The following is a 16,329-nucleotide window of genomic DNA, read 5'->3' on the forward strand; positions in this document are numbered from 1 at the left end:
AAAATAGGAAATAGGAACTGCTGAAAATGTGTGCGAGTTTTAAATAGGCCAGCTAGGGAAGGGTCACTGAGAGGGTAACATCTAGTAACAACTTGAATGAGGGAGCAAAGGGAGGGATATTAGGGGAAGAAGGTTCTAGGCAGAGAAAAGGGCAAGTGCAGAGACCCTGAGGCAGGAATGTCTGGTTTGCCCAAGGCACAGAAAGGAGGCTTGGCTGGATCAGAATGAGTAAGAGGGAGAAGAGTAGAAGATGAAGTCAGATGTGACAGGGAGTTTGATTATGTAGAGCTTTAGAGGCCGCTGAGAGGACATTGACTTCACTATGAGTGGAAAGCTATTGAATGGTTATAACGACATAATCTGACACTTGCATTTAACATGAGACCATGCTGGCTTCTGTGTTTAGGTTTGATCTTGGCCAGGCAAAGGCAAGAGGGGGTAGACCATTTAGGAGGCTTTTAGCAGTAATTTAGGTGAGCTTTGGTGGTCATATGGACTAGGATCATAGGAGTGGAGATGATGAGAGGTGGTCAGATTCTGGTTTTATTTTGATGTTAAAGGCCACAGCATTGGATATGAGGGAGAAGGTGAGTAGTAGAGGGTGGCACCAGGGCTTTTGTCTTGGGCACCTGTGAGATATATTTGCTATCTACAAAGATGGGAAGACTGCAGGATAGATGGATTTGAGGGAGATCATTAGGAATTCTGTTTCGGGGATTTTAACTTTGAGATTCCCCTTAGACATTCAAATGGTGATCTTAGGTGCATGGTTGGATATGCCAGTCTGGATTTCAAGGCAGTGGTCTAGGCTGGAGTTAGACATTTGAGAGTAATTAGCATATAAATGGCATAGGAAGCCAGGAAGGTGAATGAGATCAGTAGGGGTAGACTGAGAAGTAAAGAAGTCCAAAATATGAACTCTAGGGCTCTCTGTTTAAATGTCAGAGAGACGAAGAAAAGCTGGCTAGAGAGCCTGAAAAATAGCCAAGTAGGAGCCAAGTGAAGGACATATTTCAAGGAGAAGGGAGTATTCAGCTCTGTTAGATGCTGCTAAGTCAAGTAAGATGTGGAGTGAGGATTGGCCATTGGCTTCAGCAAAGTGCAGGTCTTTGGTGATCTTGGCAAGAACAGTTCATTGGGATGGTGGGGGTGAAATGCTTGATTGGAGTGGTTTCAAGAATGAGCAGGAAGTGAGGATTTATACTGAGTGTCTGGAGGAGTTTTGCTGTAAAGGATAGCAGAGAAATGAGAGGCAGTGGCTGAACACAGGTTGTGGTATCAAGAGAGGTTTTTATTGTTACTTAAGATAATTTGCATTTTTTATGCTAATGGCAATGAGTCTATGGAGAGGGAAAAATAAGGGGGAAGGGAGGAATTTCTGGAACATATGATGTTCGTGAGCAGATGCGAGGGAATGGGATGGAGGAAGGACTCATGGGAGGGGTTGGCCTTAGTTTGGAGCACAGAAGAGTTCCTCTTTAATAGGAGGTGAGGAGGTAAGCCACAAATCTGTGTGGATAGATTGATGTGGTATAGGAACTTCTGGATGTTTTCTCTGATGAGCTGAGAGTGAGTTTTGAGGAGAAAGAATATAGTTGACCCTTGAATTTTGTGGGGTGTGAGGGGTACTGATCCCTGGTGTAGTCAAAAATCTGTATATAACTGGAGACCTCACCAGTAGCATAAAGTCTGTTAACACACATTTTGTATGTTATATCTATTGTATACTGTGGAGTCACCCTGGAAGCTTAAAAACTCAGGTGCCAGGTCCCTGTAATTGAGATTCGGAGTAAATGTTTTGTTTAGTCTTCCAGGGGAGTTTAAGGAGCGGCCAAGGTTAATAATCACTGGGCTAGAGCCTTTTTATCATTTTAATAAAGAGAAACATGTAGTTCATTTGTAAAGAATGGGAAGATAATCTTTTGATAATAGCATCATTGCCGATTTTTTTTTTTTTTTTTTTGAGAGATGTGGGTCTTGTTGTCCTGGACTCAAGCTGTACCCCCCGCCTCAGCCTCCTGAGTAGCTGGGACTGGAGGCACAAATCATTGCATCTGGCATTCTTGAAATTTTTAATAGAGAAATATGCTCTGACAGTGATATACTAGAGACATAAGTGCATTTATAATGGTGTAAGTTTCATTAGGTAGATACTTCGGGTTTTTGGTTTTAAATCAATACTGACAGTTCCCTAACTTGTCTCCCAATGCTTTGTGTTTCTTTTTTTTTCCATGTTAATTTTAGTATGGTTTCAACATGGTCATGTCTCATCCACACGCTGTCAATGAGATTGCACTAAGCCTGAACAACAAGAATCCCAGGTAAGCTGCTTTTGTAGTACGCAAGTCTAAATCTATCTAGAGAAAACAGAGGGCTAGTCAACACTTAACCAAGTTTGACTTTGGAAACTTTCAAGTGTTAATCTCTGAAATAAGATTGGCTATAAACTCTTTGGCTGTGTAAGAATTTTTCCTTTTAGCCAAGTTACATTCTTAGATGGGCCAGAGTTGAGCAACTGGTGACAATTCTAGCCCTTCACTGTTCTCCTCAAGCTTTTGTTCTTTTGAGGCCTGGTTTCCAGCATCCTTGCTGCTAAATTTGGAGAGGATCAGGTTGCCAGGACTCGGGGGCCAGGAGAGTCTTGATAAAGATTTACGTATATCAGTTATTGCTGGAAGCTAGCTAAAACCACCATCCTTCGTCTACACTTCGCTTGATAACTTTACATATGTAGCTTTAATTACTGAACGAAAATAGAAAAATAATTGTAGTGGCCAGCCGCAGTGGCTCATGCCTGTAATCTCAGCACTTTGGGAGGCCGAGGCAGGCAGATCACCTGAGGTCAGGAGTTGCGACCAGCCTGGCTAACATGGTGAAACCCCATCTCTACTAAAAATACAAAAAATTAGCCAGACATGGTGGCACATGCCTGTAATCCCAGCTACTCAGGAGGCTGAGGCAGGAGAATGGCTTGAACCCAGGAAGTGGAGGTTGCAGTGAGCCGAGATCGCACCGCTGCACTCCGGCCTGGGTGACAGGGCAAGACTCTGTCTCAAAAAATAAAGAAAGAAAGAAATAGAAAAATAAAATTGTATATGCAGATTTCCTTTCATATTCACCACCTTGTAAAGGCTAGCAGCAGATATAATTCACATCACACGTTAGTCGTAAAAGCCAGTCTTCATCAATTGTAGTTATTTTAATGTGCTTTCCATTTTGGTGAAGTATTCTGTACTTCAAATGTGCAATTCCTTTTCATCCAATACCTCTCTGTAGACAAAATATCTGAAAACTGTTAATTCAAAAATCTGTTTATAAATTAGCCATTTCTGATTTGGAAAATGCAACACGAACTATCAAGTCCTCTTTACTGAATATTATTCTTTCAAACTTCCCCTGATTAAACCTTTTGCGACTGTGCGATTCCTTCCTTCGTTTACTAGAGTCCTAAGTAGCCATGCTTCTGTGTCTCTGCCTTCTACTACAGGGAAGACATTATTTTTTAAAAGACAATTGACATTGTGGAGTATCAGAACAGTTTTTGTTTAGAAGTTGGTGAAAGCTGTTATTCCAGAAAAAAAATGAAATACTTAAGTGGTCTTATGATTGAAGAAACAATGCTGTTTCTTTCTTGACATTGAATTTGAAAACTTAGAGTGTATCTCCATGTTCTCCTTCCAAAAATATTTCAGATTGAGTTTTATTTTCTTGAGTCAAAGAAAATATTCTTGTGTTAGTAAAGCTAGTAAAGCTGTAATCCAGCTCCTTCCAGTTGTCCTGCGTAGGAAGAAGAAAGGACAGAAACTTGTATTTTCGTGGGAGATTTATGGATCTGTCCCTACATGAGCAGATTTGAAATGTAGAACATGAGTTTCAGTTGATTTTGAACTTTTTTTTTTGCAAATGTTCTCTCACTGTCTCTAAAACCAGAGCAAATACTTAATCAATAGTTTGTTTTTCAGCATATTCCCATTCCCTTTGTTTTTAGCGTACCAGTAAACATTTTTCATCTGTATTGTACTGAGTCACCTGATGATAGGTCTAAGAGATTATTCTTCTCAGAACTAGTTTTCATTAGTGAGTGATTTGTCTTTTTGGTAAGTATACCTTCCAAATTTGCCATCTTAGACAAATCACATATGTAGTAGTCAGTAAAGGTTTAAAAATGTACTTTGATTAAACTGTACCTTAGTAAAATTTTTTAAAAATGTAAGGGCAAATGTTTTATTCTCATGTATCTTGGAAGGAAGAAACAGCTGACTCATCATGCCATTTTCACTGATTTGTGTTTTTCTTCTTCTTGTTTTGGCAGAACAAAAGCCCTTGTCTTAGAACTGTTGGCAGCCGTTTGTCTTGTCAGAGGCGGGCATGAAATCATTTTATCAGCATTTGATAACTTTAAAGAGGTAGGCTACACTATAGTTTTCATAAGAATACTCACACATCTTACATTTGGACATCTTTGAACGGAATTATTTACCTTTTCATTTATCCTAGGGCCTAAGGAATATAATAGTTAATTTCTAAGATCTCACTGAGAGGAATGTAATGAACTTAGTCTAAATTTGGTATCTTATTTCTAGGATAAGTTAAAAATAATCACAGTACTCTTTTTTTGTTGTTGTTGTTTTTGTTTTAATTTTTATGTTTTTAGGGAACATGGAATAATCCAGTTTGAAAACCGGTTTTGTTACATGTATGTGGTTTTCATTGGGGTTGATATTGGCACTTGATCGTCCACCATGCAAATTTTATGAACTCTTTCATCACAGTTACTTTATTTTTGCTGGATGCTATGAAAAACCTGGCAAATACTGGCACTGATTCTGGGAGCGTGTAAGCTTAAGTGGGCTTGTCACAGCCAAACAATAATGCAACAGTTGAGCATGGTTGGAAACGGAGACTGTCTGACCACAAAGAAAGGAGGGATTACACAAAGACAATATGACGCCGCGGGCCCTGCCCCAGCGTATCCAAACATCACCGCCGCGGGCCCTGCCCCAGTGTATCCAAACATCACCGCCTAGATAGTAGCTGCTTTCCCACAGGGTAGTGGGCAGTGTTGTAGGACCAAGAAGAGTACCTGTTTGTTCCCCTGGTATATGCCTGACATCAGAGGCTACTTTGAGGTGAGAAATTACAAAGTAGTCCTTAGAGAACAGGTGGAAGCCCAGGTTACAATAGGACCCTTCGCCAAGTTGTGTGTTATGCTAGAAGTCCCATTTAATTCCAAATGCTTTTGGATTAAGACCCGAGCTGGATTAAAATCCAGGTCACAGAGGGACTGTTTTCTCTCCTCTTTCCTGAAAGGTTCTGAACTAGAAACTCTGATAGTATTTATTGAGAACCTACTATATGCCGGGGCTATACCAGCTACATGCATGGCATCATTTGGTTCTATAAGAACATCTTTGAGACAAATATTAATATCTTGATTTTAGCGAAATTGAAATACATAGTTTACCTGTGGTCACATAGCTAGATAAGTGACAGAGCCAGGAACAGGACTTGGTGCTCCTGATCCTGAACTTCCTTGAAATGTGTTGAAGTTGTGGCCTTATTGTTTGTGAATCCCTTGAAGGAAATAAGGGAAATACTGAAATGAGACAGGACTTCGGAGCTATTTCCCCTGCCTCCTACCTCCTTAATTGGATTTACTGCCCAGCTGCCAAATGTTCTAGACACCAGCCTGTGAGCCTCTGCATAGGCTGGGAAGCTTCAAAGATGTGAACAGGGCAGACACTCCTCTTGCTCCTTTATTTGCATTGCCTCCTTACTGCTAGTCCATTCTTTAAGATTTTGATATTATCCATTTTGTAAATGCCAACTGTGGAGACAACCAAATATTATCTTTTTTTTTCTTTCTATTGAGCCCCAAAGATAGTGAAAAAATATCCAGCTTCCAAGAGAATGAAGAAGAATAATAGTGAATCTTTAAATTCATATTCTGGCTTCCAAGACAAATAGATTTTAGAGACAAGAATGTACGAATGCTTGTCTGTGAATGTTTTTATATATCATGTATAAATATATAAATTTTACATTTATAAATAAGGAAGTATGTTTGGGTGGATGGGTTTAATATGAAAGAGAAACAGTATGTGCAGCTCATATAACGCCCAAATCTTTATCATTAGGTCATATTTGAAAATATTGCATGCTGAGTACTTTTCACATTGGAAACATTTACTATATAGTTATCAGTGGCCCTTGTTATAATGACTCATATTATAACAGGAATCTGATTATACTGCAGGTCAGATTATATCCTAAAGATATATTTGTATAGAACAAGAATAAAAGCCAGGAATTCATGAGATGAATGATAATATTTTTTTCTCCTAGGTAAGATAGAGTACCTTTCTTATGCATAGTAGGCCCACAGATACTTGCAGAATTGAGTTTTAACTCTTTGGTGTCAGACTTATATATGCTTTAGCTATTTAGGGTGTAGTATGTGCTTAATTGAAGAAAAATGTAATCCTAAGTCTAATACCTGGACAATAGTAATGAGAACTAAATTACTTTTGACATTGAATTCTTAGAGCTTTAACCAAAACTGGCCTCATTTCTGTAATTAATCAGGAGTGATGGTAGGTCTTCAGGTACTGTCCTTGGCATAGGCATTTGCATCTGATAGAAGGTGATAGCAGTGGGCTAGGGGAGGTCCTCAAATGCTGGTGGGACCCCAAACCCTGCTGGTGTCTAGGCGCTTGACATCCTCACAAGAATGAATTCAAGTATGAGTTAGAAAATAGTGAAAGTGTGGAGATTTATTGCAAAGCAAAAAGTACACACTCAAGAAAGGGGAGTGTGGGCATGCTTGAGAGAGTCACACAAGGTGGTTTGGGGCTGCTACCTTTATGGATTTCTTTAACCAAGGGATGGAGTATTCACGGAGATTCCTGGAAGAAGCTGGAGATTTCTCAGAACTATGGTGCTACCCATTTTTACCTCAAATAACGATGTTCTGGAACTGTCATGGCACTGGTGGGTATATGATTGAATATGTGAATGAGCATAGAATAAGGTCCTAGGAGAAACCTGGATCAAATCCAGCACCATGTTGGACCCAGTTTGTCTTTGCCAGCTTGGCCCACACCCTGTTTTTCAGGGTCTTATCAGCCCCAAGCTTCTGCAGCTATTTCAGCAGTTTCCTTTTGCTTAGTCATGTGAAACTGCTGCCTAGAATTTTTTATTCTGCTGCAACCATCCTGCATTATTCTTGTCTAAAAACCATATAGACAGACCAAGCAAATGGATTATTATCCTAATAGCCATGGGAATGAAGACAAGGTAGCAACATGCCCCCGACAAACTTAGTTGTTATAGATAGGTCAGAAGAGCCTCAACCGATTTATCCAATCTTGAGGTGCAAAAGGTGTTATTCTGTGTTGATCTTGCTTTCTAAAACATGCAATGCCGCTCACAGCTCAAAGTCTCTTAAATCCCTTCCTCTTTTTCTCCCATCTTTGCGTGAGTGAATTTTTTTTTTTTCACATCATAGTAAAGTGAATTCTTTAACCTCTTTAACCAAAATGTCATTGGAATCTTCTGGTTTTATAATAATATTCATTATTATATTCTGGCATGCCTGTGCAGATAGGGTTTTGTTCAGTGAATAATTCCTTTTGAGCCACATATGGCAGAGAGAGTACCATACCAGGTACCAGGATACCAGGAAGGAGGACCAAAGAAGAGTCTTTGCCTTCGAGAAGATTGTTTTTAAAGCTTTTCATCTTTTTTAGTAAGTTGGGATTCCATTCATCTGCCTAAGAAGGATGAAAGGATTATCTTTGTTTTTATTGGCAGGAATGAGGGGTGAAGTAGGGGAGTTCAACATCTATTTTTTGCAAATAAAGTAATATGCTTTAGAGTAGCCAGATCCTTTGGGCTTTGATCACTGTTAGAGCATAGCCAAGCGTACTAACGCAATATGGAACCAGATGCTAGAAAGACATTTAAAAGGCCATGTATCTTAAGTAGTTTATGTAGCAGGATTTTTCCCCCTCTACCTCTTGAGCCAATAAATCCATTCTATCTAATTTGACCACCACTAATTAATTAGTTCAGATGTAAATTAAAGGAAGTTATTATTTGGCTGTTGAAAGATTTTTATGTATGACTACATCATTTTCTCATGTTTTGATGAATATTTAGAATCCCAATCTTATATTTTTTTTCCTTAAAAAATCTTGCTACAAATCTTGTAATAGCTGAAGTGCATGTTTTAGGAAGGCAGGGAGCACCTTTAGTTTAATGGTATGTGATGGTGGCAAGAATGTTAACCCAAAGCTTTGCTTATGGTGGGGGTGGGATTGGGGTCTAAGCCTGATGTCACTGAGCAAACACATACATGGCTTCAATGTACATGATGACAAATGAGTCTTAATTACATGAATACAGATAGTAAGCTTATACTGTGCGTGGTTTGTGACATGCCTGAAAACATGAGTGTATTGAGTAGATGAAGACTAAATCATTAACAGTCAACCATTGTGCTCCTTGAATTCTTTTTTCCTTAAAAAACAATTTTTTAAGGGGATTAACACATCTGGTTTTGTGTTGAAATATCTCTTAACGAAAATTTATGGTCTTGAAATAAAGACCAGGGTGAGAAAAAGGAGTCATCTATTTTTTCTTATTGGCTAATTTATTAATAGCCCCATGGAAGGACATATGACCATCTTACCTAAATTGATGTTTTCTTAGTTGTGTGGCAGTGTATATTTTTGAGCCCCGAGACTACCAAACAGAAAAAAATACATTTGGAAGTAAAAACCACCCTTTGGATATTTATATTAGTTCAGAGTCTTCTTTGCAAGAAGCAGAAACTGACTCTAACACATAGAGGAAAGGGTTGATCGAAAAGATGTTGAGAAAAGCACAGACTTGACAAGGAGCCTGGAGAACCAGGCTTGGAAAATGGGCAGGCATTCCTAAAATGTGGCTATACTCTGGCTCTGCCTTTGAAGCTGCGCCACCAGAAATACCATTTGGGGTTCTGGTCATGCTTTTTCTTCTCTTCCAAATGACATGGACCATAGCTAGCAATCTGCTGGCTCATAAAACTCTTATCTACTGGTTAAGGACCTCAACCAGTCCCCACTTCAGATTTCTAAACACTACGCTTCATCTCATTACCAAGGGGAACCTTGAAGTCTTCAACCTAGCTCTTGCTCTCAACTTTTTCTTAGTCTTTTTACTTTTTCCATTATATTCTTTGATATATTTGAGAAAATGGCTTGCTTTTAAAAAGTGTCTCCAAAGGTTTGGCAAAAAAAAAAAAAAAAAATGCTTCCTTCTGAAGTCAAAGAGGAAAAGTACTGAGGCCCTGTAGACTCTACAGTGGAACAGCCACTATGACATGAGTAATAAAATCCTCTGAGGGCTTTGAGGCACCAGCTCTCCCAGGCTGCTGGGAGGTGCACCTGGAATTCATCAGGATTTCGGATCAATTATAACTGTATTCTCATCTGCTTCTGTAATGACAGCATCTGGCTTTAGCAAAAAAGCCTGAGTTTGGTTATTAAAGGCTCAACTCCCTCCCACTTTTGACCTTCCAGTACAGAAAGATGGAGCCTTGTTGAATGAGTCACTCGAGGCCACCAGCACTCTTGTGCACAGCACTCTTGGCAGTAGTTGTTCTTTTTTCTGCCTGTTGCTAGAAGGCTTCCTAAGAAAGCTGATGTGTGGTTTAGCTACTGGGCATCTGAAGGCACTCGTGCTACACATTATTAAGTTGAACTAAGAAAGCCTGTCAAGTTTTATTTATAGTGGACCAAATTGGGCAGGAAGGAGAGTGAAGATTTTGGTGTGCTTCCAGCATCCCTCTGAGTTTAATCCCATGTAATCTAACCTCCCAAGCATTTGAGGGTATAGGATTGTAAATCTAGCATGAGACCATCCAGATAACTTCCTAAGTGGTAAAGTAAGGGTACTCACATTTTTCAGTCTCTCATTGAACTATAAGCAATGTATTCTCTCAAGTCTCAAACTGTAGGAGCCACAGCCGTAGAGCATGTATGTATTTCATGGTATCAGGCCAGAATTAGATTGATCTAATTAACCAAGATTCTTCTTGACTGGTCCTCCTCCTTAGCATTAGGAAGCAAAGTCCTAGTCTTAATGTGGTGTTAGTGCTGCTGAGTAACTTTTTTTGTCTGTTTATCAACTGTTGCAATTTTTTGCTGTGGATACGAAAGTACCCCACACTTCATTTTTTTAGGCTCCTGGCTTCTGTGGGTCAGGAAGCCAGGCTGGCATGGCAGGGATTGTCTCTTCTTTGTTTTGTCTGGGGCCTCATCAGGGAAGACCTGATTGACTGGGGATGCCAGTCCATCTGGAGGCTGTTTCACCCACATACCTAGTTTTTGAGCTATGATACCTCTCAAGGACTGGGCCCAGCTGGGACTATCAACCAGAGAGCCTCCATGTAGAACTCCACGTGGCTTGGGCTTCTCACAGCATAGCATCTGGCTTCTGAGGGAGAGTGCCCCAGGAAGGAGCATCTGAAGAGCCACCATTCAAAGAGCCAGAGGCTGCTGAGTGTCTTCTGAGCTGGTCTTAGAAGCCGTGTAGTGGTCACTTCTGCCATGTTATCTGGGTTCCCAGTGAGGCCCTGAGCCCAACCCGGATGCAAGGGGAAGGCAATGGCTTCTCTTCTTGATGATTGGCCGTCGGGTTACTGTGCAGAACATGTGGGGTGGGAGAGAGAGCTGTGGGCTCATACCATTGTAGTCTGTATACCTCAGTAAGTCTCGTACCTCAGTAACTGTATGAGATTTACCAAAATGTTTATTGTTATTCGTCTTTCATTTTCTCCCTCTTCTTTACTCAATCCAATACTTGGTTTTTCCTTTTGACTGAAAACTTTATAAACTTTTTGATTGGAGATAAAAAAGATAGTTTTTAATTCTTTCATGTGAATCTACTATGGGCAAATGATATTGTGAGAGCCTTCCCTAGAGAAAGGAGCCATTTTCATAGGATGTCCAAGTTTATTTTCTGGTAATGAACTAGTTATTTCTTTACCATTAGTGTCTTTAACATCTGGTTAAGGGAATGAAGGCTGGTATCCTCCTGATTGTTAAGGGATGAGTCATACTCACTTACTGAAAAAAATGTGAGTGCTTTCTATGTGTCAGAAACATTGATAAATATTGGAATATGAAAATGAATCAGACATATGCCCTGCCTTTAAAAGAGAGCCTCCCAGGCTAGTTGAGGAAGCAGATAAATACTTCGACAGTTGTAATACCAGGCTTTATAAAGGTAATTGCAAGATGCTCTGCAAAGAAGAGGAACAGCTGACCAAGACAAAGTAGGGCTGGAGGCAGATGGGGAAAGAGCTCTCAAGGAGGCTCCTTATAGGAGAGGGTGCCTGAACAGAGTTTAGGGTGAACAAGGTTAACCAGGTGTATTCCTTTCCCATTGCTGCTGTAACAAATGACTACAAACTTAGTGGCTTAAACCAACACCAGTTTATTATTCTACAGTTCTGTAGACCAGAAGAATAAAATGAGTGTATAGGGTGGTAATCTCTGAAGGCTCCAGGAGAGATTTCATTTCCTTGGCCTTGTCAGCTTCCAGAGGCCACTTAGATTCTTTGGCTTCCAGCCCCTTCCTCCAGCTTTAAAGCCAACAACATAGCATCTTGTCTCTGTCTCTCTGCTTCTCTTGACACATTGCCTTTTCTCTCTGACTTCTCTGTCCTTCTTCCTTTAAGGACCCTTGTGATGACATTGGGCCCATCCATAATAATCTAAGACAGTCTCCCCTCCTGAAGTCCCTTAATTTGATCATACCTTTGCAGATATCATCATACCTTTGCAGATATGATCAAATTAAGGAACTTCAGATGGGGAGATTATCTTTTTATTGTATAAGGCAGCATAGTCAACAGGATCAGGAATTAGCATGTGGACATCCTGGCGGGTAGGAGGAACACATCATTCAGCCTGTCACACCAGATAAAAAGGAGTGAGGATGTCATTTTATACCAAGAAGGTAGTATTTTAATAAAGCTTCAAGGACTTTAGTTTGCCCCGAATCTCCAGTTTTAAAGAGCTTAGGGCATGGGAAGAGAAAAATTGGGATAGGAAATTAAAGGGAGATCAGAAAAGGCCCCCTTGCTTATCCCAGGCTCTTCATAGTGCCACACAGCCTAAAGGGAGCAAATATGCTCCCCAGTCACATTGGCTGTTTAGATTGACTCTATTAATAAAGAATTTGCTCATATGTTTTGTTCTGAAAGTCAATTAACAGTGGGCTCAGCATGCAGTTGCTTTGATAGAGCAGGGTGTGTTTGGGGTCTGAGATTTGTTTCAGAAATCTTACCATTCATATTTCTCATTCCTTGGGCTCCTTTCTCCACCGAGAGTCATCTGCTTCATCAGCTGCCGTATTCATTTACTTATCACGTCTTCAGGACTGCCCTTTTTTGGTGGTCCTGGGGGAGCTTAAAAAAAAAAAAAAGAGGAAGTACAGCAGGGTAACAGTGCCCAGAGCCAGACCAGATTGTCACATTATCTGTTGTACAAATGTAGAGATGCTTTGCTTCACAACTTGACTTTAATTAGACCCCTTCTGCTCCACGCAAGCCTGAGTACAATTTTATGCAATAGGGAACCTCATCCTCTATTTTAAATGTAGCAGCCACTTAAAAAAACAAACAAAAAAAACAACAAAAAAAAACCCAGGGTGTTAGGGTGTTGCTGCCGTGTTATTTCTATTCCTATAAAAATGCCGCTTCTAAAATGCATGCCCTTTGCCAACTATAAAAGTTGGCATATGTGCCCTTATTTCATATTCTTGGAAGATAACGAGGAGAACCCCAAGAGAAAGCAGTGAGAGCTGAGTGTTATTTTAAACCCTGCAGAACTTGAGACAGAGACTGGTACTGTTCCCTAAACATGAGCTTTCACTTGGGAAGTATTTCTTTGACGTTTTGATATTGTCTGGTTTAAGGTACAGAAGGACACTATGAAGCACTCTGCTGTGAGCTGATCAGAAAATCGGAGTCAAAACTATGACAGCTTTGGCAATATCACCAACTCTAAAAAGCATTTGAATGGAAGTTTTCAGTCTCCGGGCAGGATTTGATTGCCATTCTGGCATTTATTTCGTGAAAGGCCTATTTAAGGATCTTCTTGGTTTGCTCTTCCTGTGTAAAGGAGCTGCTTCCCTGCTCTTCTACTCCCTCACTCCTGGACCTCCTGGGCTCAAGTGGTCCTCCCACCTCAGCCTCCTGAGTAGCTGGGACTACAGGCATGTACCACCACACCTGGCTTTATACATATATATATATATATATATATATATATATATATATATATATATGTATATGTATATGTATATATATATACATATACATATATATATACATATACATACATATACATATATATATATATAATTTCTTGTGGAGACAAGATCTTGCTATGTTGCCCAGGCTCATTTTGAACTCCTGGCCTTAAGCAGTCCTCCTACCTTGACCTCTCAGAGTTCTAGGATTACAAGTGTGGGCCACCATGTCTGGCCTTCTAGCTGCTTTTTAAAGTAGTTTTATATTGAGTAAAAATAAAAATTATTGTTTTTATGTGTCATGGAATTCTTGATTATAGCTTATTTTAGCAGTTATTTAGTCCAGTACTAAGCCCTACACACAGGGTTATATTAACCGTCTTATTAAATAAGCATGTGTGGCTCACGCCTGTAATCCCAGCACTTTGGGAGGCCAAGGCAGGCGGATCACCTGAGGTCAGTAGTTCGAGACCAGCCTGGCCAAGATGGTGAAACCCTGTCTCTACTAAAAATACAAAAAATTAGCTGGGTGGCATGTGCCTGTAGTCCCAGCTACTCGGGAGGCTGAGGCAGGAGAATCGCTTGAACCTGGGAGGCAGAGGTTGCAGTGAGTCGAGATCGCACCACTGCATTCCAGCCTAGGTGACAGAGTAAGACTCTGTCTTTAAAAAAAAAAAACCTGTAGGTTCAACTATAGCTGTTCAAATAGTTATGAAGTGCTGGATATGTTAACCAGGAAGAAGGATAAGATAAATCATATATAAATAATATATATGTGTATCAGTGTGTATGCATGTTTGTCTGTATATTTGTACATTAAATATATGTGTGTGTATAATAGGAGTAAGTGTAAAGATATATGTGTGCACAGTAATAAGCCCTAAAAGGAAGCAAATGAGAGGATTTGGAGTGGCACTGGGACAACTCCTTTGTGTGTGTTTATTTCTGTTGCTTGGACTGTTTGGTAAGTAATAATCCCTCACGTGGCTAGACTATCCCTCTTGTGCAGAGTTAGATTTTCCCTCTGATAACTTTTTTTTTTTTTTTTTTTTTTTTTTTTTTTTTTTTTTTTTTTTGAGACAGCATCTCACTCTGTCACCACCCAGGCTGGGGTGCAGTGGCGCGATCTCAGCTCACTGCAACCTCCGTCTCCCGGGTTCAAGCGATTCTCCTGCCTCAGCTCCCGAGTAGCTGGGACTACAGGCGAGTGCCACCACGCCTGGCTAATTTTTTTGTATTTTTAGTAGAGATGGGGTTTCACCATATTGGCCAGACTGGTCTCGAACTCCTGACTTCGTGATCCGCCCACCTTGGCTTCCCAAAGTGCTAGGATTACAGGCGTGAGCCACTGCGCCCGGCCTCCCTCTGGTAATATTTTATATGGCTAGATTTGTCTTTTCTAAAGATGCTCAGTTATCTTTTGTGTAACATCTCTCCAGACTACCACCTTTTCTTCAAAACTGTGAAACAGAATCAGAACTGTTTGGAATTGCCAGCAGACTGTTGAGCAAATATACTTTTTACAGTGACCCCGTTACAGGGTTAGGGGAGTTTGTTAGAAAATAAAAGGTTTCAGGCCAGGCGCAACGGCTCATGCCGGTAATCCCAGCGCCCTGGGACACCAAGGTGGAAGGACTGCTATAGCCTGGGAGTTCACAATTAGCATGAGCAACATGGTAAGACCCTGCCTCTACAGAAAATACAAAAATTAGCCAGGCATGTTGGTGCACGCTTGTGGTCCCCGGTACTCAGGAGGCTGAAGCCAGAGGATTGCTTGGGTCTAGGGGGTCAAGACTGCGGTGAGCCGTGATCACACCGCTGCACTCCAGCCTGGGCGACACAGCGAGAACCTGTCTCTAAAGAAAAGATAAGGCAGCCAGGTGCGGTGGCTAACGCCTGTAATCCCAAAACTTTGGGAGGCTGAGGCAGGTGATCACAAGGTCTGGAGTTAGAGACCATCTTGGCCAACGTGGTGAAACCCCTTCTCTACTAAAAATACAAAAAATAAGCCGGGTGTGGTGGCACGTGCCTGTAGTCCCAGCTACTCAGGAGGCTGAGGCAGGAGAATCGCTTGAACCCGGGAGGCAGAGGTTGCAGTGAGCCTAGATCGCGCCACTGCACTCCAGCCTGGTGGCAGAGCGAGACTTCGTCTCAAAAAAAAAGAAAAGATAACTCATGATTTCCGTGCCACAGAAGTTTGTATTGCCTTGAGAAAGGTAGGACTGACTTTAATAGGTATTTAGTTGAGGACCAAATATACACTAAGGTCAACACTAGGAGGACAGTAATTTAAAACTTTAAGAATTGTGCATGTATTTATATTTTTATACCTAATTGTAATTTAAACCAAAATGTTAGGTGTTATTGACAATGAATGTGTGTATTGAGCTTGACTCTCTATGTGAGTCAAGTTCAAATTTCATTTGAAATTTAAACTCTTGTAAAACATAAGCACATTTTTTATTGATGTGGGGGTCTCTCGTCAATAAGGGCTTTGTTTGTTGGTTTCTTTTAAACCAGCAATTCTCTTCAGAAAGAAAGCATGAGCAGAGTTCAGAATCAATTCCATTTTCTTCTTTATTGTCAACATTAGTGTATTTATGTCATGTACATAAAAAGGCATATACATATGCAGAAATAGTAAGGCTACTATTAGTTAATTTTCTATTTAATAAAAAATTTGTTTGTTTATTGTTTCCTTAGTGCTGGCAGACTAGTATATATTATTTTGTTAATTCTTAGATGCACCATCTGAGGTAGGAACATAGAGGGAGAGCTCAGAGCAAATGGGCCTACTGACGTCTCTAGTAAATGGCAACTCTGGGATTTTTACACAGATCCATTTAACTCAGAGTTCATATACAGCCTTACATAACATGTCTCACATTCCAGGCACTTTCCACACATGTTCGTATATTGTCCTCAATTTTCCACCGAAAAGCAAACCTAATGGGAATGGTTAGAGATTGGATAGATTATTGGGGTGTTTAAAATTACTGGTAAAATTCAGAACAGACCATACTG

At 40.4% G+C, this 16,329-nt stretch overlaps 1 protein-coding gene across 14 annotated transcripts in view; it reads left to right on the top strand.

Moving 5' to 3' along the window:
- The window catches only part of FMNL2 (formin like 2), a 314,653-nt gene that overhangs the window by 241,470 nt on the left and 56,854 nt on the right, over positions 1-16,329 (top strand). For all 14 annotated transcript variants that reach the window (XR_241279.5, XM_011510531.2, XM_011510533.4 and 11 more), the window contains 2 exons: positions 2,245-2,321; positions 4,313-4,406. Coding sequence is in view for 13 of the 14 variants with exons in the window: in XM_011510531.2 (XP_011508833.1) it covers positions 2,245-2,321; positions 4,313-4,406 (171 nt within the window). In the remaining variant the exon portion in view is untranslated. The remainder of the gene's footprint in view (positions 1-2,244; positions 2,322-4,312; positions 4,407-16,329) is intronic.

This window comes from Homo sapiens, chromosome 2 (genome assembly GCF_000001405.40).
Source record: "Homo sapiens chromosome 2, GRCh38.p14 Primary Assembly".
In the NCBI taxonomy this organism is placed as follows: Eukaryota; Metazoa; Chordata; class Mammalia; order Primates; family Hominidae; genus Homo; species Homo sapiens.